This window comes from Homo sapiens, chromosome 1, assembly GCF_000001405.40.
Source record: "Homo sapiens chromosome 1, GRCh38.p14 Primary Assembly".
Lineage (NCBI taxonomy): Eukaryota > Metazoa > Chordata > Mammalia > Primates > Hominidae > Homo > Homo sapiens.
In genome coordinates, this window is record NC_000001.11 from 14,837,093 (window position 1) to 14,862,194 (window position 25,102).

At 47.7% G+C, this 25,102-nt stretch overlaps 1 protein-coding gene across 11 annotated transcripts in view, besides 1 other annotated feature; it reads left to right on the forward strand.

Moving 5' to 3' along the window:
- The window catches only part of KAZN (kazrin, periplakin interacting protein), a 1,225,220-nt gene that overhangs the window by 944,269 nt on the left and 255,849 nt on the right, over window positions 1-25,102 (forward strand). The window lies entirely within an intron of this gene.
- Window positions 11,881-12,380: an enhancer, noted in NCBI's record as "H3K4me1 hESC enhancer chr1:15175469-15175968 (GRCh37/hg19 assembly coordinates)". NCBI's record gives its function as "activates a minimal SCP1, AML or CMV promoter by ChIP-STARR-seq in primed H9 embryonic stem cells {active_cell/tissue: H9 hESC(primed)}" and the evidence as "EXISTENCE:reporter gene assay evidence [ECO:0000049][PMID:30033119]".

Below are 25,102 nucleotides of genomic sequence, written 5' to 3' on the forward strand. Positions count from 1 at the left end.
AATTATTTAATTTTTTAAAAAATTTTTAGAAAGATCTCATAGGTAGGCTCTTGCTTCTTGCTTTCTTCATTTATCATTATGGTGCTAAAATACATCCCTGCTGTTGTTGTTGCTGCTGTTTTTGAGACTGAGTTTCGCTGTTGTTGCCCAGGCTGGAGTGCAATAGTGCGGTCTTGGCTCACCGCAACCTCCGCTTCCCAGGTTCAAGTGATTCTCCTGCCTCAGCCTCCCCGAGTAGCTGGGATTACAGGCAGGCGCCACCATGCCCTGCTAATTTTGTATTTTGAGTAGAGACGGGGTTTCTCCATGTGGGTCAGGCTGGTCTCGAACTCCCGACCTCAGGTGATCTGCCTGCCTCAACCTCCCAAAGTGCTGGGATTTTAGGCGTGAGCCACTGTGCCTGGCCCATACCTGTTGTTTTATGTCAGTGTAGTTCATTCATTCCCATAGCTGTATAATTTTTTTTTTTTTTTTTTTTGAGACAGGGTCTTGCTCTGTCACCCAGGCTGGAGTGCAATAGCGCAATCATAGCTCACTGCAGCCTCAACCTCCTAGGCTCAAGAGATCCTCCCACCTCAGCCTCCTGAGTAGCTGGCAGATAGGCATGTGCCACCACCCCTGGATAATTATTATTATTATTATTATTATTTTTAGAGACAAGCCTGTTGCCCTGGCTGGTCTTGAACTCCTGGATTCGAGCAATCCCTCTACCTCAGCCTCTCAAAGTGCTGGGATTACAGGCGTGAGCCATGGCACCTGGCTCATATTCTTTTGTGTGAATATAAAACGGTTTATTTAACCATTCTACCTCTGATGGACCATGGAGCTATATTTGGGGTGGTGGAGGGTAATCATAAACAATGCTGCTGTCTTAGTCCCTTTGTGCTAAATGGACTGAGACTGGATGATTTATAAAGAAGAACAGGAACTTATTTCTGACAGTTCTGGAGGCTGGGAAGTCCAAGATCAAGGCACTGGAAGGTTCTGTTGTCTGGTGAGAGCTGCTGCCTTCTTCCAAGATGGCGCCTTGGGGCTGTACCCTCCGGAGGGGACCAATGCTGCACCCTCACGTGGAGGAAGGGATGGAAGGGCAAAAGAGCTGTGGCTGTGTGAAGTCTCTTTTCTAAAGACCTTAATCCCATTCACAAGGGAGGAGCCCTCATGACCTAATCACTTCCTGAAGGCCCTACCGCTGTATACTATCACATTGATAAGTTTCAACATATGAAATTTAAGATCATAGCAGCACGTCTGAATGTACTTATCCATGACTTCTGGAATTGCTCTTGGATTTATGGCTAGGAGTGAAATTGCTGGATTGTGGGGCATGAGATGAACTGGAAAGTCCAAACCTCAGCTGGGAAGAAAGAGCCCCCCACCTGGTCAGTTACCCAGAATCTTCCCTCTTGCTAACTTTATCTCCTTCTGTTCAGCTTCACAAAACCATGCTCAATTAGGTTCCAAGGTGTGCCTCGGCTCCCCTCTTGATCCCATTCTTTGGTTGTAAGGTTAGCTTCCTGGTTCTTTTTGTTTGTGAGGGGAAGGGGAGACAGAGTCTCATTCTGTCACCCAGCCTGGAGTGCATTGGTGGGATCTCAGCTCACTGCAAACCTCTGCCTCCCAGGTTCAAGTGATTCTCATGTCTCAGCCTCCTGAGTACCTGGAATTACAGGCGCTTGCCACCACACCTGGCTAATTTTTGTATTTGTAGTAGAGACAAGGTTTCACTCTATTGGCCCGGCTGATCTTGAACTCCTGACCTCAAATGATCCGCCCACTTTGGCCTCCCCAGATGCTGGAATTGCAGGTGTGAGCCACCGCACCTGGCCCTGATTCTTAAACCTACTCCAGGTTTGCACTTTATCCACCTGGCTTTGAAGAAAAGAGAGAAGGGCAAGCAGCCCATGCCCCCATAATCAACTCCTGCCAGGGGCATCATAAGAATTCCAGGCTTTAGCACAGTGCATGGAGGGAAGACTTTCAGGCTGCAGAGGTGCTTCCTAAACCTGCCCTGCCTGTCCTGCCACTTCGGAGCACTAACACTTAGTGTTTCCTTGGTATTATCCCTCAGATGCTTGGAAGAAATGTTCCCATGAGAAGGCTGTGTAGGATAGTGATTAAGACTGCAGTCTCCGGAGTGTTCTGTCTGGGTTCAAATCCTAGCCCCATTCCTTTGCTAGGTGAGAGACTCTAGACAAGTCCCCCTACCTTCCCTGGCCTCAATTTCCATGAGCTGGGTGTGAGGAAGTTCACTGAGTCACTGTGAGGATTAAGTTAGGGTAATACAAGTCAAACACCTAGAACAGTACCTGGCATAAACATTCAATAAATGCTAGGGATCATTTTTAAGTAGCATAATAAATGAAGCGCACCCAGAAAAATGTGACCAAAGCAAGCCCTAAATGAACATGAGCTATTGGTATGATTGTTATCGTTACCAGAAAAACCCCTATTCATCCTTCAAGATCCAACCAAGATATCCTTCCCTGTCTCTCTATTCTGACGGCATTTGGTGCAGAGCTCATAATCTCATCTATCAGGTTGTGTTTTAATCTACCTGTTTGTGTGTTTGTTATTGTTGTTGCTCTTTCTTCTTCCTCAGCTAGATTGTATCTTTAAGAACGGGGACTATTTTTCTCTGACTAATCCTCACCCTGACGTCCTTGATGGCCAGCACAGCGTAGATGCTCCATTGATGAAATGAAAGACATTGGGGCTTGTATGTCTTAGAGGCACCTCAAGGCTCTGGAGGTGCCTCTAAGTTTGCAGAGCAGGCAATAAAGGGAAACCAGCCTGGCTGAGTTTCTTCTTTTCTCTGGGTTGCAATAATTCTGGGGGAGGAAGAGCCAAATGGTCTCTGTCCTGCCTTCTGTCCTCTCCAGTACCTTGCCTGTCCCTCTAGGAGCTCCAGCCAGATGCCAAGATAGGTGCCAACCCACCCCCACCCCGCTATTTTTTCTGACCCTCCCTACCACCTGGCACTGCAGAAAACTGACTTCCTTCACATTGTGTTGTTCTCATGGGCTGCTTCAGACCACGAATCCCTTTTCATTCTTAATAGAGTCCAGGAGAGGTCTTGCACGGTGATTGCCGATTCAAGTACGCTCCTCTGCAGAGGTCGATTATTGCTTTTATTTAAATAATAGCCATTGAAATGATTAGATTGCTGGGCGCTGGAAAGTCTGGGGTGGGGGATCTAATCACACACAGAATAACTGGCAAATCATCTCATTTCAACCTTTTCTCCCTAATCACGAGCTGCTCCTCCCTTTTTGAGCATTTGGGTGCCCCTGTCCACCTCTCCAGAATCTATGTCTGTGGGAATACAGGTGCAAGAAAGGAGAGACATTTCGCAAGCACATTAAATATCTCTCAAACATGAACCCAAGGGTGAAGGCTCTCCTGATGCTCAGAGAAGATTATGCTGCACACTGCCTGCTGAAATCACTCTAGCCTTCGTGGCAGGTGATAGAGGCGCTTTGGGCGTGATCTTCTGAACTGTGCTAAGTAAGGGCTGCCATTTGGCGATAAGCTGCCCTCAGAAGTCCAACACTCATCCAGGCAGAAAGAGCGTGGTCATTTAGCCTGGATGCTGCCTCTTGCAAACTCATCTCTTGTCCACGATGCACCTCAATAGTCCTTGGTGGAGACCCTTCAAATCTATGCAGGGGGTCATATATGTAAGTGTTCATACTGTAAACAGAAGGGTAATTTATTCATATCTATTGAATGCATGCCTACCATGTGCCAGATACTATTAGGAATGTGAAGTGAATATAGCAATGCCAGGATGCCAGATACCAAAGGCCATAATCACTTTCATATAGATAGTTGATGATGAAGAAAGAGAGAGAGATAAGTGGAAAGATGATAGGTAGATAGGGAAATAATTTAATTCTGATAGTGTAAGCATGCACACATCTGGGGAAGAACATTCTAAGCATCAACAACAAGTGTAAAGGCTTCAGGTGCAATACATTTGGCACATTTGTGGCACCATATGTACTTTTGCAGGCAATTCTGTTAGAAATGGAGCCATAAGCGGCCGGGTGTGGTGGCTCACGCTTGTAATCCCAGCACTTTGGGAGGCCAAGGCGGGTGGATCATGAGGTCAGGAGATCGAGAACACGTTGAAACCCCGTCTCTACTAAAAATGCAAAAAGTTAGCCAGGCGTGGTGGTGGGTGCCTATGGTCCCAGCTACTCGGAGAGGCTGAGGCAGGAGAATGGTGTGAACCCGGGAGGCGGAGCTTGCAGTGAGCCGAGATCGCCCCACTGCACTCCAGCCTGGGCGACAGAGCAAGACTCCGTCTCAAAAAAAAAAAAAAAAAAAAAAAAAAAAAAAAAAAAGAAATGGAGCCATAAGCATGCTGTGTGCCAAGTAGGGAGAGGACACTCCCTGGCCAAAGATTTACATTTCCTGGGTATAGGGGCAGGGACTTTTTTAAATCCCTGGAGCATTAAAGAGCAGATGGCCATGCACTGGCAGTAGGGTACTGGATGCTAGGGCTAGATACACCCCTCCCTTCCCAGCTCTGCACCCAGTGACGTCACATTGGCTTAACATCAGCAGCAGTGGGAGGATCACAACACAGAAACCAGCAGATGCTGCAAAGCAGGACTTTGTATTTTCCTTTCTTCTCTTTTTTTCCTTGAGAGCCATTTTTTTGTACCACTGACATCAAGGCCTCCCTGGGAATGAATGAATGCACCAGGCAATGGATCGGACCTGCCTGATTATCTATCTCATTTCATCTTTTCTACTCATCTCTGTTCATCCTGTTCTAGCCACTCCAGCATCCTGACTGATACTCATCCAGGCTAGCTGTGCTCCTGCCTTCAGGCTTTTGTGCTGGCTGTTCCTTTTCCCCACACACATTGCAGGCCTAACTCTCTAACCTCCTTCAGGGCTTTGCTGGGATGTGCCCTTATCAGTGAGTCCTTCCCTAACTGCAGCTTCCAACCACAGCACTTCTTGTCCCCCTCCCTGCTCTCTTTCTCACTTATGCTATCTTTTGCTGATTTGTCTTTGTTATTCTCTACCTCAGCCCAACCCCCACTAGAATGTAACCATCCAAGAGAAAATGGGGATTTTCATGTTTTGTTCACTCTTTTATACCCAGCACTTTAAACCATGCCTGGCACATAATAGGTGGTCATTCATTTTTTGTTGAATGCATGAATGAATGGCCTGGTCTGTTTTCTCTTTTCCCTCTGGTGGATCCATATCTGTGGTAGTGTCTCTTATTTCTAGAACAGTAATAGACACGCAGGATCAAGCAGGCCTTGCTACCCAGGAGAAAACCAAGGTAGCACGATGAGAAGACTGAGGGTCTTGCCTGGAGCCAATGTCAGTCCATGGCACTGCAGGGAGGCCCTGGGCAGGGGCATTCTCTCCTGTTGCGTTAGCTATCAGCCCTGTGAAGCCCTCGTTGTCCTACATCATCGAGTGAAATATTCCCACCAGAGTGTTTATATTTAAAAGTCATTGCACTGAATGGAATTGACATCTGTTTACATTACATTGCCATTACTCATTTCCATGTACAATGTTTGCCTTCATGCTGCAGTATCATTTTAGGACATGTTACAAGGAAGGATTAGAGGAGCAGTACAATTTGCAAGGGGATTTTCTTTTTCTTTGTGCTTGTTCTTATTTTTTAATTTTTACTTTTATTAAAGTAATACATGCACATAATTTCAAAATCAAAGAGTAGTAAAAGGCTTATAATGGAAAATGATGGTCCCATGGCCACCCTTCTCCTCCTTCAATTCCAGCTCCCTGGAGTCAAGGACTTCCCACAGTTTTAACTGGGGTTTTTGTTGCTCCTTGTCTCCATAATGTGATGTGATTGGTATATTGCTGTTTCTCGGCTTACCCAAGAAACATCTCTTATAGACATTATCTCTTGATGTTCTGTGATGGTGGATGAAACTTGAGCTCTCTTTGGCCCCCTCCCTCCCCAGTCTTCCCAATACAGTTGCATCACATTTCCTAGTTTCAGTGGCTGGCCAGTGCTGGTATTTATTAAAACCACATTCACTGTAGAGCCAGGAAGTATACTAAGATTATCCCAGAGCTGCTGTCCTATTCAAGTCGATTCCTACTGTGTGCTTAGTCATCATACTAGACTCAAGGCAGTGTGTGGGGTCAAAGGGAGAGAGAATCCAGAAAAGAAACAAATAAAGGTTTGAGAAAAAGAATAATAAGGGACCCATCTGGATGGGTGGTAGGAGAAGACCTCTCTGAGGAGGTAGAGGAGGTAACATTTAAGCTGAACCCTAAAGGATGGCAGGGAGGGAGTCTGCCATGGGAAGAAGCCAAGAGGAGTAGTTTTCTAGGCAGAGAGAAGGGCACAGGAGGCCCCTAATCTGAGAGCCTAGGATCTCATGGTTGCTGTGACATGAGGCTCATTAGAGGAGATGACCTTTCTGCCGTGCCCTGATTCTGAGATGCTGGCAGACAAGGCTGGGGTGGAAGAGCCTTTGGGGCACAGAAACTTGCATGGGCAAAGACCCAGAGGTGGGAAAGATTCCAGCAAATTCGCCTCCCTATCACTGGCTTTAAATGTTTTCATTTTATACTCTTAAGATATTTTAAATGGAATATTCGCCCCACCCTCATCCCACTACCCTGACAGCTGTTTATTCTCCACATTCCCTTCTAGTCCTCGTCTCTTCACAGACACTCCCATGGTTGTCTTTTCTGCTAATCTTGAGTTTGTCGAACCCACAGTCAGCTTCCAGGTGTTGCTGGGTCTCTTGCACAAATCTCAGCCTCAGTGTCTTCCTCACCAAAGCAACTCACTCGACTGGACAAAGACACACTGAATCTTGCAACATTGCCAATGCTTGGAACGATTTCTTCCTGCAGAGGACAGCGTGGTTTTAATAAGTTTAAAAAGTATATTTGGAGTTTTACGCCTCTCCCTCATCCTCAGCCTTCCATATGTAGAGAACAGAAGACTTCCAGAGGGACCCAACTTCCTTTTCCAAATGTATGCTTTGAGCTCTCATTAGCCACCCTTTGACATCTAGTCCAGACTGAGCCTGCTTCTACCCACAGCACCCCACTCCAGCCCCAGAACTTGTCTTGGGCATGTAGATGAGCCCAGCCTTAGGAAAGCTCCTGCCCTAGCCTGTACTCTCACTTCTATTTTCCACCTTTTAAGTAAAATGATTTGCCTCTCTAAGCCTCAGTCTCCTCACCATAAAATGGAGATAATAACTAGACCTTCTCCTCTAAAGGTTGATGTGGAGGTAAAATTAGGTGCTACAAGTTAAGAGCTTGGAATTGAGCAGGTGCCTGGCAATTATTACTTCCTCACCTTCCTTACCCTCCTCATTATGAACAGCAACTTTTGGAAACACCCTTCATATTTTCTCAGCTCCACTTTACAAAATAACATCCTTCCTGGGCTGTCAGCCTGGCTGAACATGCGCTAGAAGTATGTCTTGCAGGCATCCCTTTGGGCACCAAGCCAAGATGTAAATGAGATTGTTCGCAATGAAGAAAGTGTGAGCTTTTGTAGGATATATTTTTGTCCCATCTGAATGGGAATCAGCTCAGATGATAGAGCCCCTTTCCTATAAGGAGGAAATGATGCTACTTTCAGTCTCTTCTTGGCTTCCACCAGGTTGGTAGGGCAGCCTGAGAAGGTGGCAGCTTCACAGTCAGGAAACTCAGTGGGTTGTCCAGCATCCCACCATAGTGTCTGGTTGGTTTGTGGGTTGGGTGGGTGGGTAGATGGATGGGTATGTGCTTGGATGGGTGAGTAGGTGGTGAATGGGTGCATAGGTGGATAGATGAGTTGGTGTTTTGGTGGGTGGGGAGATGGGTGGATGGCTGTATAAATGAGTGGTTAATGGATGGATGGATGGGTAGATGGATGGATGGATGAATGAATAAATGAGTAGTGGATAGATGGATGGGTGAGTAGTTGGATGAGTGGACAGACAGATAAATGAATGAATAGGTGGGTTGATGGATAGACAGATGGCTGGATGGAACAGCTGGATGGATGGGTGAGTGGGTGGATGAGTGGATGATGAATGGATGGATAGTGAGTGGATGGGTGGGTGGATGGATGGATGGATGGATGGATGGGTGAGTGAGTGGATGGGTGGGTGGATGGATGGATGGATGGATGGGTGAGTGGGTGGATGGTTGGGTGGATGGATGGATGAGTGAGTGGGGGTGGATGGATAGATGGATGATTAGGTAGGTAGGTGGATGGACGGATGGATGGATAGGTGAAGGGATGGATGAGTGGATGGATGGATGGATGGATGGATGGATGGTTGGATGGATAGATGGATGGGTGGATAGATGGGTGGGTGGATGGACGGATGAGTAAATAGGTGGATGGATGACTGAGTGGTGGATGGATGGATGAGTAAGTGGGGGATGGATGGATAAGTGGATGGATGAATGGGTAAGTAGGTGGATGGATGCATAGATGGGTGGGTGGATGGATGGATGGATGGATGGATGGATGGATGGATGGAGTAAACAATTCCTTCCTTCAGTTTTGCATGCCCTTGATGAGCTGGATTGTAGTTTCCCAGATTGCCCCCATGATACCCTGTGTTCCTTATGGTGGTAATAGGTGCTCTTCAAGAGGTATGTGTTGGTCTAGGTCCTCTATGGAGGAAACGCTAAAATGGAATTAAACATTTAAGGACTTTATTATGGAAAATATCTGTGAGGGAAAATGGGGAGGGAGCTGGAGACAGCTGGAGAGTGGTCAGACCTCGAGGCAAGTCGGCCCCAGAGAGATGGAGAGTGAAAGAATGTTGGGTGAAGGCATCCTAGACTGCGTGCAACCTAAAGAAGGTTTGACAAAGCTGTCCAGGAGTCCTCAAGCCAAGTTAGTCAACAGAAAAATCCCGTGTCTCCCAGGAGTGGGCTGACTTCAGATTTATGTCATGCTCCATCGTTTGCTGGGAAGAGCCCAGGGGAAGCATGGACTCTGTGCCAAGACAGCAGCTGGGCCTTTGATTAATTACACTCCCTATACTTGGAAGTCACCAGGTACTATGGCCAACATAGGGGAGGAAAGTTCTATAGCGGCATGTCTTGGAGCTGCTGCATTCTACAGTTTTTGGAGACTCAAGATGCAAGTTGGCTTAGCAAAATTGCTAAGAAGCCCTGCAATAAAGAAGCCTGTTGAATCTAGCATTTCCCAAATGTATTTGACTATGGAGCTTTTTGTCTTAGCATGATTCCAAGGACTAGAGTTTGAGATCAAGCGATCTAGGTATAACCCAAGTGTTCCTAGGCCACAAGAGAGAACAAAAAAAGGAAGGGAACCATAACAGAGAGGAGGCAGGGGGAATGGCTCTACACAGAGGCAGAACCAGCACAAATCATGTCACTGGTTGCTTTCAACAGACCGTGAGATATTAAAAAACAAAAACAAAAACAAAAAAACCTAGATATGGAATCTAGGTATTATTGGCCAAGGCTGACACAAGAACACATATTTATTTTAGTTGACTTAATAATCAGGCCTGCCATGTACACAGTGCACTACAGTTTACAAAGCTCTTTTCTATCTGTCATCTCCCTTGAATATCACCATGACCTTGAGAATCAGGGGGGAGTTATCATCCTCATTTTGCAGCTGACAATAACACTTACCACAGTGATCATAACTGTTGAATTTCCTGAGTGCCTTCTACCTGCCAGGCAGTAACTTAAGCATTTCCACCTTTATTAACTATAGTCTTCTTATATAGGAAGGTGACTGTGGTTCAGAGAGGTTAAGGGACTGATTTGAGGCCACACAGCCAGCAAGCAGCAGACCCACACGTGAACCCGGGTCTGGCTGACACCACAGCCCCTGGCAGGGAGCGAGGGGCAGCAGGAACATGCAGCCCCCTCTAAATGGGTTTTTTACAACCTGCTCTAAGTCACAGCGAGAAGTAGGCTCAGGGAATGTAAAGTGGGTAGTGATTTTTTTCTCCCCTATTCTTTTACTGCTTTTGTTTATTGAAGGACAAATCATTGCTGTTTTCGTTTGTGTTTCTAGCACAATAAAAATAAAAGATATGCCGGCAATCTTTTTAAAAGCTTATACAATTCCAGAATTTGAGCTGTCGGATTTATGCCGCACACTGATCTCATAGACATCACAGTGCCATCTGCCTGGGCCCGCCAAGGGCTTCCGAAGTTGTCGTTATCAATCAAAGTAGGGTGGCCACAAGCTCAGGGGCGACAGTGGCCAACCTCCACTGACTGCAGCCGAGGCCTGTGAAGAACAGACACTGGCTGTGTTTCCCTTGCTCTGCCCAGAGTCTCAAAGCAGCCATCTTCATTTTATTATTGAAATTGATGTAGGCTTGTAGCAGAAAAGGGATTGCAGGCCTGGGAGGTGCCTGCTGTTTTGACTCCCACCTCCATAGTCCAATCCTTGCCTTGGGTCCGCAGTGAGCTATGTACATCTGCGTCTGTGTAGTGCTCAGGTAAGAAGAGAATTTGGGAGCACACTACTTCTGTATGTCTTTACCCATCAGCCTCCCCCACCCAAATCTGTTCCATGATGCCAGGGACATTATCTGTTCCATTCAGTGCAGCATTCCCAGTGCCTAGGACAGCACCTGGGGCAGGGGCACAGTGGCTCACGCCTGTTATCCCACCACTTTGGGAAGCCGAGGTGGGAGGATCAGTTGAGGCCAGGAGTTGGAGATCAGCCTGGGCAAAATTTTGAGACCTCGTCTCTACAAAATATTTTAAAAAATTAGCCAGGCGTGATGGCCACCTACAGTCCTAGTTTCTTGGGAGGCTGAGGTGAGAGGATCACTCGAGCCCAGGAGTTCGAGGCTGCAGTGAACTATGATCAGGCCACTGCACTCCATCCTGGGCGACAGAGTGAGATTCTGTCTCAAAAACAAAAACAAAAACAAAAACCTGGAACATAGAAGGTGCTCAATAAATATTAGTTCAATGAATAAATGAATGTCACATACGCATGAAAAACATGCAAATTTGAGGACCAGGCAAGGGAGCGGCTCCCCACCTTGGATGTGTTCCTTGCTCCCTCTTGCAGCTTCTTCCTTCCCACACGTCTCTGAGCCTCTCCTCTGCCTTCTAAGCTCTCCTCTCTCTTTTCTTTCCTCTGCTTTGCTGCTTTTCTCTGACCTTCTCCTTCTCCCCAAGATGATGTCACCAAGTTCAGAACTTGGGATGACCCAGGAAGGGGAAGCTGCCAGAGTTAAGGAGACTCAGTTCTAGCTCTGCCTCTGATCTGGTCTCAGCCTGAGTTCTATCTCTCTGAGCCTCAGTTTCCTCATCTGTAAAATGGGTGCAGTGTGCCCACCACCGTGCCTACCGCAGAGGTATTTCAAGGATGGGGTGAACACAAGCTGGCAAGTGGGGAGGAAGTCAGAAAAAATGAAGCCAATTATCATTGCTAACCAAAGACAACTCCTTGTCGAGGAAAGCAACAGCTCCCTCTGTAAGCACGAGCGTGTGGGGTGCAAGGAGCCTTTGTTTTGGAGTTCAGCGGGAGGCATCCAAGTGGGGAGCATGAACATCCACTCTTAAAGTCTGAAGCTACAGATGTCAACTGTCAGTAAGACCGACAGTTCCATTAGGCAGCTGCCCGCTCTCCCCGTGAGTGATTAAAACGTCGCCATCCATCCCCCATGCTATACATCATCTCGCCAGGCTGGCACTTCATCAAGGGCCATGAAGCGGGGACATTTGCATCCTCTTCCTCGGGCTGCACCAAGGCGGAGTTGGTGGAGACATCTGTGTAGCGTAGCGTGTCCTGGGAGCGCCTTGGAAACAAAAGCTGGGGAAGGCTCGAAGGGAAGAGAGAGGCCCAAGTGCATGGAGCGGGGGCTGGCTAGAGGGGCCGGATGCTGCGGCTCCAGGAAGCAGGGACCAGGGCAGGAGCAGTCACTGGGAATTGAGGTTGGGGGCCCCGGGATCATCCAGCCCCTGCCCTCATTTTACAGACCAGCGAACTGAGGCTAGGGTGGCTGAGCTCCCCTTGTTCGGCCACTCCCAGGGGAAAGTAGGATGTTTTGAGTAATATCTGCCTCCTGCAAGGGCCTGCGTTCATTCCGCTTAAGTTGCCAGGGTGTTGCACAGTGTCTGGTGCACACTGGGTGTCATGAAGTGCTGACTGATTCCAAGAAGTGGTAACCAGAGTCGCAGGGTCACTGCCACACTGAGGTTCCAGCTGAACATTACAGCCCTCATTTGAGTGTTTCTGACCACCATCTGTTATTAATTCTAATCATCGTCATCCTCATCAACAATAATAGCAATAATATTTGCCACTAACATTTTTGAGTGTTTACTACGTTCCGGGCTCTGCACTGAGCACATTAACACAAAGGTTTCGAGTCTCTTGTCATGTGTGTGTTCACAGAAACCCTACATTCTATAAAGTCATGCACCTAGAATAGCAGGGCTTATGGGAATAGGGTTGGGGAAGATCATTCCAAAACTTTGGGAGTTTTGTAACCAGAGAATATTAAAAAACAATAAAACTCCCTAGAAGAATACTGGCGCAGCTGAATTGGTACCTAGCCTTCCTGTCGGTATTTCTATGCTCCCAGAAAGGACACATTTAAGAGCTTGCGCTTTCTCTTTCAGGATGTTGATCCCAGAGGGCATTCGCTTCTGATAGAGACCATTTTCATCAAAATTAAAAATCGAATCCAGACTGCTGCCTTTATCATTCATCCATTGTTTCCATAGCAGCAGAAGTATTTTGAGTTTTTCCATCTTACTCACGGCTCCCCCAGATAGCTTAGCAGCAGTTCTGGAAGCCACTAAATCAACTACTGCTTGCAATAAAGAAAGGCACTTGGGTAGATTTTCTACCCCCCCTTTTTTTTTTTTTTGAAACAGAGTATCGCTCTGTTACCCAGGCTGGAGTACAGTGGTGTGATCTCGGCTCACTTGCAACCTCCGCCTCCCAAGTTCAAGCGATTCTCCTGCCTCAGCCTCCTGAGTAGCTGGGACTACAGGTGTACGCCACCACACCCAGCTAATTTTTGTATTTTTAATAGAGACAGGGTTTCACCATGTTTGCCAGGATGGTCTCGATCTCTTGACCTCGTGATCCGCCTGCCTCAGCCTCCCAAAGTGCTGGGATTATAGGCATGAGCCACTGCGTCCAGCCTATTTATGCTTTTTCTAATGTTGAGAAAGCATGCTTCTGATTACTTCAAAATGTGAATGTGCTGGGGAAGATGACTCATAAACCAACATGACCTTGGCATTCTACTAACCCAAGTCCCTTACTGACCAACCACATGTGAGGTTGGTCATCTGTGACATGTTTAAGGCAAAGAGACTGTATCTTGTTAAATCCTCACACCAATCCAAGGAGGCTTATACGGCTAACATCATCGCCATTTTACAGACGAGAAAACCAAGGCTTAGAGAGGTTAAGCAACTTGCCCACGGTTACTCAGATAATAAGTACAGCAAGAGTTTGAACCCAAGCAACCATCCTCACCACCTTCCACCTCACTGCCATGGCCATCACACGTGTGTTTGCTTTCGCTGTTGCAAACTTGAGGACGGGGCCACATCTTTTTTGCAGCTCCAGCACCCAGCATTCTGTGTGGCACAGACCAGGCCAGCAGAACGTGTTTGAATGAGTGGCTCTGTTCCAGGAGAGGTTTCACCCAGAAAGTCCCACAAAGATGATAAGGGAGAGGCTGCCACCTGCCTGAGGAAGGTGGCCCTGCCACCCTGACCACCAGATCCCTCCCCTAGGCAGGTGTACCTCCCTAAGCCCCAGACTCTGGAAGTTTTATATTGGTTTCCTAGCCCAGCTCTCAGAAGGAAACCTATTTCTCCATTTGGGGTGTGGTTCCGAGGGCCTGCTCACAGTACCTGAGAGACAGCACGCAGTCTTTCTCCACTCTGTCCTCCAGGCCCTGCACAGTGCTGGGATCAGAGCAGAATTTGGGGATACTCCCTGAGTTGGACCAGCTATGCCTTTGTCGGGTTGGCCCTTCCACCATCAGATGTGTCAGTCCTTGGCGTTAATCCCTTCCAGTGCCCAGCCCACCTCTCCCCTCCTAGACGGCTCACAGCTGTATTAGGGAGATGGTCCACTTCTAAGTGCACCAGGATGGAGCAGCCATCTAGGTGGGTCCCTGCAGTGTTACCTTCTTATCACATTGAGCCTGGGCCTGCCCAGGGGACCACTGCCCAAGACGCCGGCTGATGGGATAATACCTGTAAAGCCAGCATGCCCTTCGTGTCCCACAGCTAGGGGCTCCCTTCTGCGGTGGTGGGGACACCCACTCACTCCCATACTGCCAGCCTTCAGCTGCCCCACCGCTGCGATAGCCCCTGGAGCAGAATCTCAAACACCCCACACCCTGTCCCAAGGACCAACCCTTGTTGCATGTGCAGAGGGCCCATGGAGCCAGCAAATGTGGGCAAGCAAGAACAAAGGCACCCCTCATCAGAGGCTCGTTTGGGGTGTCCATTCAGGGGGCCTGTTGAGGGCCTTGAATCCTGGTCAAAGCTAGGAGTGAGGCCTTCGGGGTTACCATGCTGGGGCACCTGGCTCTTCCCACTTCCACCTGGGCGTTGACTTATCCTCTCTGGGCCTCAGTCTTCTCAGCCATGAAGTGGGATGGCAAGGCCCGCCTGAAGGAGTGGGTGCCTGTGCAGCAGGCAGAACAGCGCCCAATACATAGACATGCTTAAGGGATGTCAGCTCTTCCTGACATTGGACGCCTTCTCATAGCAGTCATCACACTGTGTAGCGATCGCTCCACTAACCACCCCTGCAACTGCAGGTCACTGGGGGAGGGACCTAGTCCAGCTCACCCGGAATCCTCAGGGCCTAGACATGGAGACCCAGGTCCTCCGGAAGAGTTTGTGAGAGGAATGAGAAATGCGCCTGGACTTTGGAACAAGCCAAATGAAGTCATATCTCAGCTCCTCCCATTCCCTAGATCTGTGGTTCTAGGCAATTTGTTTCTCCTTTCAAAATCTCAGGTTCCTCACCTGGGAGGCAAACGTAAAGTCTGGATCTTGGGGGTCTCCCTGGATCTCCTTCTCCTTCTCTGCGTCCCTATCTCCCCTCCCCTACCATCTCCCTCCACCTTGGGGCTGTCTAACTGGACCCGGCACTGGACAGCTCCAGGTGTTTGCATTTGAGAGTTGGGCTTTCCTGGGGCCTCAGAGTAGAAGGTGGGATCCAGGTGGCCCTGAGAGATGGGCTGAGGCCCAGCAGGTGTGGACACAGCAGGCTTTCCATGCTTCAGCCCAGCTGATCTTGAATGGGGAGTCCAGCAGCCTGAGTCAGCCATGCGGCGATCAGACGGTGCCAGGCCTGCGAATGAGGAGGAACCGGAGCCAAATCCTTCCCGGGAGGCAGCAGCTCTGTGATGTTCCCTTATCAAAAGGCCCAGCCCCCTCCCCACCTGCAGGCCCTGCCCCCTCCCTGCTTCTTCCCACTGTCTAGGCTTGGTCAGCGTTTTCAGCCTCTGCCCATGCCAGGACTAGCAGTTCTGGGCGGACTTCCAAAGGGCCAGATGGTCTCGCAGGTACACTTGCCCAGGGCCCATGCCACTGGCAGAAGATGACAAGTGCAAGCCTTGGAGAACTGACTTTGAAATGGGGCAAGAGGCTCTGGGGTATGGATTGCAGCTTCTATAATCAGAAATATCACTTCTTCTGCCCGTGTAATAAGATTACGTGTTAGCTTTTATTGTGTGTCCTTGCGTGCCAGGCTACTCAAAGTGTGGTCCCTGTACCAGCAACATGGGCCTCCCTAGGAGCTTGTTGGAAATGCACATTCTCAGACCCCTCCCAGACCTGCTGAATCCAAATCTGTGCTTTAACCAGATCCTCAGGTGATTCCTATGCTCTTTGAAGTTTGAGCAACATTTGTTTCCCAGGTGAGGAACCTGAGATTCTGAAAGGAAAAATGGACCATCTAGAACCACAGATCTAGGGAATGGGTGGAGCTGGGATGTGACTTCATCTGGCTCACTCCAAAGTCCAGGCACATTCCTCATTCCTTTCACAAACTCTTCTGGAGGAGCTGGGTATCATGCCTAGGCCCTGAGGATTCCAGATGAAGCAGACTAGGTCCCTCCCCCAGGGATCTGCGGTTGCAGGGATGGTTAGAGGAGCGATCACAACACAGTGTGACGACTGCTTTGATGAGAAGGTGCCCAGGGCAGAGGGGCACAGAGGAGGGGCTGCAGTGGACAGGAAGGGCATCCAATGGGAGAGGACAGAGGAGACTTGAAGAGCAAGCACGAACCTGCCCAATGTTACCTCGTGGGTGCCAGGCGTTTTTCTACGTGGTGCACACCCTCTGTCTCATGGAATCCTCACCACACTGCATGAGATAGGAATGATCTTCAGCCCCATTTCTCAGATGGGGCATCTGAGGCACAGCTTACATGCCAAAGCTGCAGAGTGGATGCAGGTGGTAGGAGGGGGATTTGAACCCCTTAGTCTGGCTCTTACTCCCACACTGTCCTGCCTCTCAGTGGGAGAAGAACATTCCAGACGGATGAAATAGCCTGAACAAAGTGCAGCAGTGCCCTTAATCTGGTGCATGATCCACTGCAACTTAGTGATAGCCCCAGGCTCCAGCTGTGTCTCTTGGCCCCTCTCCCAGCCAGTCCCACCACTGACCCAGAATCAGGCTGCTCAAGGAAGTCTGGGGTCCTGACCTGTGGTCACTTGGCCCATATTGGTGCTAGTACAGAAGTTCTCCATCTATTTCAAGAGCTCCCGTGGGGGCCGAGACACCACAGCTGATGGGGAACGGTGGCCTGTGGACCACCCTTGGGCAAGAAACGAAGATCAGAGGAAGAGGAAAGTCAGCATGAAGTGAGAGGAGAGAGATGTACTTCTGGGTCAGGTTGGCCTGGATTTGAATCCCAGAGAAGCTGCAGAGTCTCAGGCAGGGACAATGTACATGGCCTCATGTAGAACTGCATGTGGAAGACCCTTTACAAGCCCACCTGGAGGGCCATCAGAGGACCAGGGGTCTCAGTTCCATGACAACCCTAGACCTACCCCCCGGTTAGATCATCTGGCCCTTTGTGAGTGAGGTTTCTCATCTTACAGGTGCAGAAACTGAGGCACAGAGAAGAAAAGGGACTTACCCAACAAATGCTTGTTGAGCTTGCATGTTGACTGGTGAGTGCTTCCAGCTACCATAGTGCCTAAGACAGACTCTGAGTGCCTCGTGTTTTATGGAGGACTCTTACACATAGGGCTTTCCTTTGCAGTATTTCAATCACCTCTTGTTTTAGTTCATTTTGTGTTGCTATAACAGAATACCTGAGACTGGGTAGTTTATACAGAAAAGAGGTTTATTTAGCTCATGGTTTTGCAGGCTGAGAAGTTCAAGGACATGACCCTGGCTTCTGGTGAGGACTTCTTGCAGTGTCACATGGTGGAGAAGGTCAAAGGGGATGCAGACCCACGTGAAGAGACAAAACCTGAGGAGTGTCCTGGCTTTATGACAACCCACTCTTGCGGGAGCTAATGCATTTCCATGAGAACTAATCCAGTCTCACCAGAGTGAGACCCTGCTCACTCCCATGAGTATGGCAGGCATTAGACCATTCAATGAGGAATGCACCTCCATGACCCAAACATCTCCCACTAGGCTGTACCTGTCTGCCACCGCACTGGGGATCGAATTTCCACATGAGTTTGGATGGGGACAAACCACATCCAAACCATAGCATCTCCCCTAGTTCCTAAAGGGAAGGGAAGTATCTCTTTGATAAAGTGTGAGGCCGAATTCAGGATGGCAGAGGCATTAGTTGCCAGCCGCTCTGATGTTTCTGAGCTTGTTAGGGTCCAGCCAATATTCTCAAGAAATCGGCTTTCAGAAATAGCAACACTAGATGATTTTATGGGCTGGAGCTCACCTGGCTGTGGAGGCGGGCTGGAAGGACACACAGGTGCAATTATTCCAGAAACACAAGCAGACCTGGAGTGCAGAGGAGGTGGGTGGAAGGAGGGACTGTTGTTTTTAATTTAGCTGTGAGACGACGGGAGTCTAGGAAGCATGGCTGGGGAATTTACCAGGGCTGTTACCAGCCCGTTTCCAACCTGCTAAACTGATTAGGACTTTAAGACTACAGTGCATTGCCCTCTATAGTTCCTTGCCTTAATATCTGTCTCCCTAAGACACTGAAGTTATTTTTATCTATTGCATTTTGTTCTGGGTGGAATGATCCTTCCCCAGTCCTGCTGATAAGGAGTTTCTAAGTGAATTTGCACCCTGCATGAAAGTTAAATTGCTGCCTTTTGTCATTTTTTTGTTAACACCACAGCCCCAGCTCTGCCCAACACCACCCCACCAACACACATCTGACTCCACCCTTAAAAGCCTATGCGCCTCATTCTCTGACTCATTTGCCACCCAGTTGGATGGAGCACAAGTGACCAAATGTAGTCTTGCAATGAGATGGGTCGGGTCACTGATGTGATCATTTGGCATCTGGTCAGCCAGGCCAGTGTCCATGAGTGGGGTGAAATGTTATAGGGTCTTCCTTGCTCTTGGCATTAGGAACACAAACCTGGTAGCTGTTCTGCGCAGGAAAGGGAACTAGCTCATATTGAACTGCTCCTATGTGCTGGGCACTTTGAATAACCCAGTGAAAATCCCATTTTACAAGTGGAAATACCGAAGCCAGACAGAGCTTGCTCAAGTGCACATGGGGAATAGCAGGGTTGGAATTTGAAACCACCTCTAAAGTCTTGCAACCGCGCTAAGCCATCAGCCTATGTAATTGGAATAGAAGTTTCCAGGGGAAAGAGAGGAGGAAGCCTGTTCTCCCCTTTAAACAGAGGGAGCGGCTGCTTACAGAGCTACTGTCAAAGCAGTTCGGTGGAGGGATTGATTTTTCAATAAGCCACCAAAATGATGGTACATTTACTACTTATGTTACTGACAAGGAGCACATTAGTAATTGGAATGTGACATTGGGATATGGCAGGTGAGTAATAACGTGATTTACATCCTTGGGGGTTTGGGTTTAAGTTACGTAGTAGTTATTGCAAGGGTCTGTGCTATAAAATCAGACTCTGAGGGTGGTCAGGGAGGCTGCAGCTCTTGGGAGGATAATGGGCATAGAAATTGGGGAGGGGATGAAAAGAGGGGAAGGGAAGACCAGAAATAACTTTCCCCACGTGCATTATTAAGTGAATGTGAAGAATACATATTCCCTGCTTTTATGGGTACCTATGCATTCATGCCTAAGTGTGAGCTTGAACTGTACCAACCCTAGAGGTTTCTTTAAAGACAAGTGAAGATTCAATGCTAAGGAATTTTGAAGAAGGAGGCAATATTTCCATAGGTGGCATAGCTAAAGACATTACAAAGGGCTGGGAATTAATATATACATAAGCGCATCTGCTCTAAACACTTTTTTCCCTTTCAATTGTTCCCCAGGAAGGTCACATAAATGCTCATTAATATGAACACTATGTTCATTAGTATAAAACATTCCATATTTTATTTCTATTTTGGTAGCTCAACAATTCACTAAGTGTGATGCAGCCACACATTCTTTGGGTTTTTACATTTTGGGGAATAAATAGGCAATGACCTTCTGCGAAGGAGGAACTTCTACTTTTCATGTGTTTCCTAAATCTTGGATTATTCTCAAGGACAATGGCCATTATGTCCATTCTTCCAGGATAAAGATGAGCATATGTTTGTTGCCGGGCTGTTGCAGAGAGTTTGCAATTCAATCGGAACTCAGACTTTTTTCCTCTGTTGTCATCCTTTGATGCTTCTCCTTGGGAGGTGTGTGAATTGGAGTTGCTTAATTAAGCAGAGGAAGCTAAAAGATGCTTTGGAAACTATCTTCATCCACACATAGGGGTTTCTGCAGAGGATAACAATTTGCACTCGAACAGGAGAACATGGGCATAAATGCACCAGGAGAGGTTTGGGATTGGATGTCAGGGGAGAGAAGGAAGCCAACCACGCGTGAAGGTGGAGAGCACAGGAATCCTTTGGACTCGGCGTCAGGTTACTAGCTGTGTGACCTCGCACAAGGCGTTTTGCTTCTCTGAAACACAGTTTTCTCCTTTTGCAAAATGGGGTAACAATACTTCTTTCAGAGGGTATGAGGAGGCTACAACAAATTAGTGTATGTCAAGCACGCAGTGCTGGCCAGGCGTGGTGGCTCCCACCTGTAATCCCAGCACTTTGGGAGGCTGAGGTGGGAGGATCACTTGAGCTCAGGAGTTCGAGACCAGCCTAAGCTCGAGACTAGCCTTAGCAACATAGTGAAACCCCATCTCTGCTAAAAATACAAAAATTAGCCAAGCATGGTGGCACACATTTGTGGTCCCAGCTACTCCTGAGGCTGGACTGCTTGAGCCCAGGAGGTTGAGGGTGCAGTGAGCCGAGATCGCGCCACTCTACTCCAGCCTAGGTGACAGAGTGAGACACACTCTCACAAATAAATAAATAAATAAAAGCTGGCACTAAGGGTGATTTGAAAGGGGCCTCCTTGGATACTCTGAGGCCCAACTCATTTTGCAATGTTGAGGGCGCCCGCTGGCTCATTAGAATTTCTGTGACTTTCTCCCAATGAAATGTTTTGTCGCTTTATTTCCCCTTAGGCTATTTTACTCATCATCTGGGTAAAACTACCCCAGATGTTTTAATTCAGAGTCTAGCCCACCCTCCTTTAAGCAAGGCTCATGGGAAGAGTGGCCCCTTTTTATTTTGCTTTTTGTAACAGGTTTCTTGAGATATAGTTCATATACCATACAATTCACCCATTTAAAGAGTACAATTCACACTCACTTCTTAACCAATTTTAGAGCATTTTCATCACCCCCAAAAGATACTCTGTACCTATGAGTAGTCATTTCTTATCCTCCCCCGACTTCCCAGCCGCAGGCACCCACTCATCCACATTCCATCTCTATAGATTTGCCTATTCTGTGAATTTCACGTAAATGGAGTCATGCAATATTGGGCTTTTGTGTCTGACTTCTTTTATAATTTAGCATAATGCTTTATCCATGTTGCAGCGTGTATCAGTACTTCATTCCTTTTTTGTGATGGAATAATATTGCATGATATGGATATGCCACATTTCTTTCTTTTTTTCTTTTTTCTTTTTCTTTTCTTTTTTTTTTTTTTTTGAGACAAAGTCTCACTCTGTTGCCCAGGCTGGAGTGCAGTGGTGCCATCTTGGCTCACCGCAACCTCCACCTCCCAGGTTCAAGTGATTCTCCTGCCTCAGCCTCCCGAGTAGCTGGAATTACAGGCGCCTGCCACCATGTCCACCTAATTTTTGTATTTTTAGTAGAGACGGGGTTTCACCATGTTGGCCTGGCTGGTCTCGAACTCCTGACCTCAGGTGATCCACCGGCCTCGGCCTCCTAAAGTGTTGGGATTACAGGCGTGAGCCACCGCACCTGGCCAATATGCCACATTTCGTTTATCCATTCATTAGCTGACAGACGTTTGGGTCGTTTCCACCTTTTGGCTGTCGTGAATAATGCAGCTGGGAACATTCATGTACAAGTATTCAATTCAATTCTGCTTCTCCCTTAAGAATAGATCTCTGTGAAAACAACTAAGTATTGGCATTGCTAGAATTGAAGACAACATACTTAAAAGGATACAAATTTAGAGGCAGGTCGAAAAATACCCAAATTCCTCCTATATTTGCACTCTTATTCCACTGGCTTGCATTGAGAGACCTTAACTGAACAGCCCCTGTAACTCGCCAGTGAATATGCTGTAGAGATATCATTATAGATGTTGTCCTCGGTCTCTCATCATGTACATCTCGTGAAGATCCATGAGATAAAATTTCTCATCTTCCATGTATTAAGAACTGCAATTCTCACGCCTGTAATCCCAGCACTTTGGGAGGCCGAGGCGGGTGGATCACGAGGTCAGGAGATCGAGACCATCCTGGCTAACGCAGTGAAACCCTGTCTCTACTGAAAATACAAAAAAATTAGCCGGGCGTGGTGGCGGGCGCCTGTAGTCCCAGCTACTCAGGAGGCTGAGGCAGGAGAATGGCGTGAACCTGGGAGGTGGAGTTTGCAGTGAGCCGAGATTGCGCCACTGCACTCACTCCAGCCTGGGTGACAGAGCGAGACCCCGTCTCAAAAAAAAAAAAAAAGAACTGCAATTCTAAGTAACCGCTCAGTGCACGTTCTGTAGCAAGCACGTTTCAGGTACCTAGTCTATTTTGTCCTCCAACAAGCCTGCCATGTGCAAGAAGTATTTTGCCCTCCATTTCACAGATGAGAAATCAGAGGTGGGTGACTGGCCCACGGTCACGCAGCAGGAAGTGGCAGAGCTGGGATTTAAACCTAATTCTCTTTTATCCTGAGGTCCAGGCTCTTAACCACTATCTACATGATTGTGTACATTTTTGAAAATCCGGCTCAAATCTTTCCTGAGAAGTGGAGGGGAGGTATAGATCTCCTTAATCTTTAACTTCTTTCATTCACTGCTTAATTTAACCCTGATCTGATCCCAAATCTGATTATCACTCACCTACTCTGAATCTAATTAGAATGTCCTTCTGGTATTTTAAGGCCATCAGGATTGCCTGATATCAAAAGCCCTTATCTGTCAATGTCTTTTCTCTATCACAGCTGTGATCAGTTGCTTGAGCTAATAAGGAGGGCAGGATTACTTGTCCTTCTAGGTTTTTCTGCATGTCTAAAGCATTCCGACTGCTTCTCCTCCTATTCCCACTATTTCCCCTTAGCGCTCTGATTATCAGCCTTCAAATCTCAGTAAGGGAAAGGATAAGGATGCGGCAGTGGGACCATTCTCCCATGAAGCCACGCCTGGATTTCTCTCCCCAGTCATCTTTTTCCTGGCACAGAATTTCTCCCAGACAGGGCTGCTGCTGCTTGAGGTTACATGAAGAACATCATGTCACTCTCACCAGTCACTTTGAACAAGAGCAGGAAGGACCCCTGCTCCCCAGGCCAAGAGACCCTCTGTTCCTTCTCCAGGTACCATTGCAACAGTAGCAGGAATAGGCCTTTTTCCTTCCTTCCTTCTTCCTTCCTTCCTTTCTTCCTTCCTTCCCTCCCTCCCTCCTTTCTCTCTCTCTCTAGATCTCTCTCTCTCTCTCTTTCTCTTTCTTTCAACAGGGTCTCACTCTGTTGCCCAGGCTAGAGTGCAGTGGCGTGATCTCAGTTCACTGCAACCTCCACCTCCCAGGTTCAAGCAATTCTTCCACCTCACCCTCCTGAGTAGCTGGGATTACAGGCGTGCACCACCATGCCCAGCTAACTTTTGTATTTTTAGTAGAGATGGGGTTTCACCATGTCGGCCAGGCTGGTCTCAAACTCCTGGCCTCAAGTTATCTACCCACCTCAGCCTCCAAAACTGCTGGGATTATTACAGGCATGAGCCACCACGCCCGGACAGGATATGCCTTTTAAAAATATTTTCTCTTCTTTCTGGCACTGTGGTCAGAGAGGGAGACCTATAGACTTTCTTCTGGAATTTGTTGAGATTTTCTTTGTGATCCAGTCTGTAGTCAACTTCTGTACATATTCCAGGGACATTTGAAAGAAAATCGGTATTTTCTGCTTGGGTACAAGCATTTTAGACACAGCACATACACACTGCACACATATACCTACCTTATATGTTTGTATTCAACACACGCATATGCTGAGTGGAGTTTAATTGTGTTCTCAGAATACATCTAAGCAAAGCAAAGTTTATCAGCTGAAAATATAAAGTCTTTTCTCAACAGACCTAAAATAAATTATTGGAAGAAGCTGAACCTAGTTAATGAAGAATCTGTCTGCATTTTTGGCACTGGGGTTGGTCATGAAAACGATTACTTCTTATCAGATTCGAGTGGCTAAGCGTTTCGCCTTCACTTGGTTCTCTTGTCTCTTGTCCCTGGTGCATGTGAAGGAAGGGAAAGAGAGAAACCAAAGATACAATTTGTGCCCCTAGAATAGTATTAGGTGGTGCCAAGTAATTGCAGTTTTTGCCATTGAAAGTAATAGCAAAGCCGGGTGCAGTGGCTCATGCCTGTAATCTCAGCACTTTGAGAGGCCAAGGTGGGCAGATCACCTGAGGTCAGGAATTTGAGACCAGCCTGGCCAACATAGTGAAACCCTGTCTCTACTAAAAGTACAAAAATTAGCTGGGTACGGTGACTCAACGCCTGTAGTCCCCCCTACTTGGGAGGCTGAGGCGGGAGGATCACTTGAACCCAGAAGGCAGAGGTTGCAGCGAGCCAAGATTGCACCACTGCACTCCAGCTTGGGTGACAGAGTGAGAGCCTGTCTCAAAAAAAATAAAGCAATGGCAAAAACTGCAAACGCTTTTGCACCAACCTAATAGAAATAGCACAAGTAGGAACAACAATGGGATGTCATCATTGAGACATAAGGAATGCACTAAAGGATCCTGTTTCTCCACTAATGTTTGTTACTTCATTCATTGAGTGCTGAAGTAGACCCTTGCTGTGTTCTATCCACCACCATTCATTACTACGACTTCCTTCCAGGGAATTACCCCTCCCCACCCTTAATTCATTTTGTTCAGCTAAGGTTCGCTCCAGAGGTGGGCATGGGGCTGGGGTCCTGAGCATTACAGTCCCCAGGCCACACTGATTGATGCAAGGTAGGCACTTGACCCAAGCAGAGCTAGAGACACAATGAGACTTTGACTGAGACCCCTGCCCAAGAGATGCATGCATACCCATTGAACTTGAACAAGGGAGAATATGAGGCTGGAGCTGCTAGCAGCCACTTTGCGACCAGGCGGAGAGAGCCGATCTGAGCAGGGAACCAACCAGAGGGAGGGGAGCCAAGTAATGCTGAAAGGGAGAAACGGGATTGGTGGCATCATTTCAGATCCTTAGCCAAGCTCTAGCTGCATGTAGAAGCTGCCCTTGGACTTTCCAGTTAGGTGAGCCCATAATTTTATTTAAACCAATTTGGGTTGTGTTGTCAGTCATTTGTAATGGAAAATCCTGACTGCCTACAGCGCCTATGGTGTGTGATGGACACCTGAAGGATAAAGGTATAAATATGAACAAGAAACAGTCCCCCTCCTCTCAAGGATCGAATAATAGAGTGAGATTCGCACAGATCTCAAATC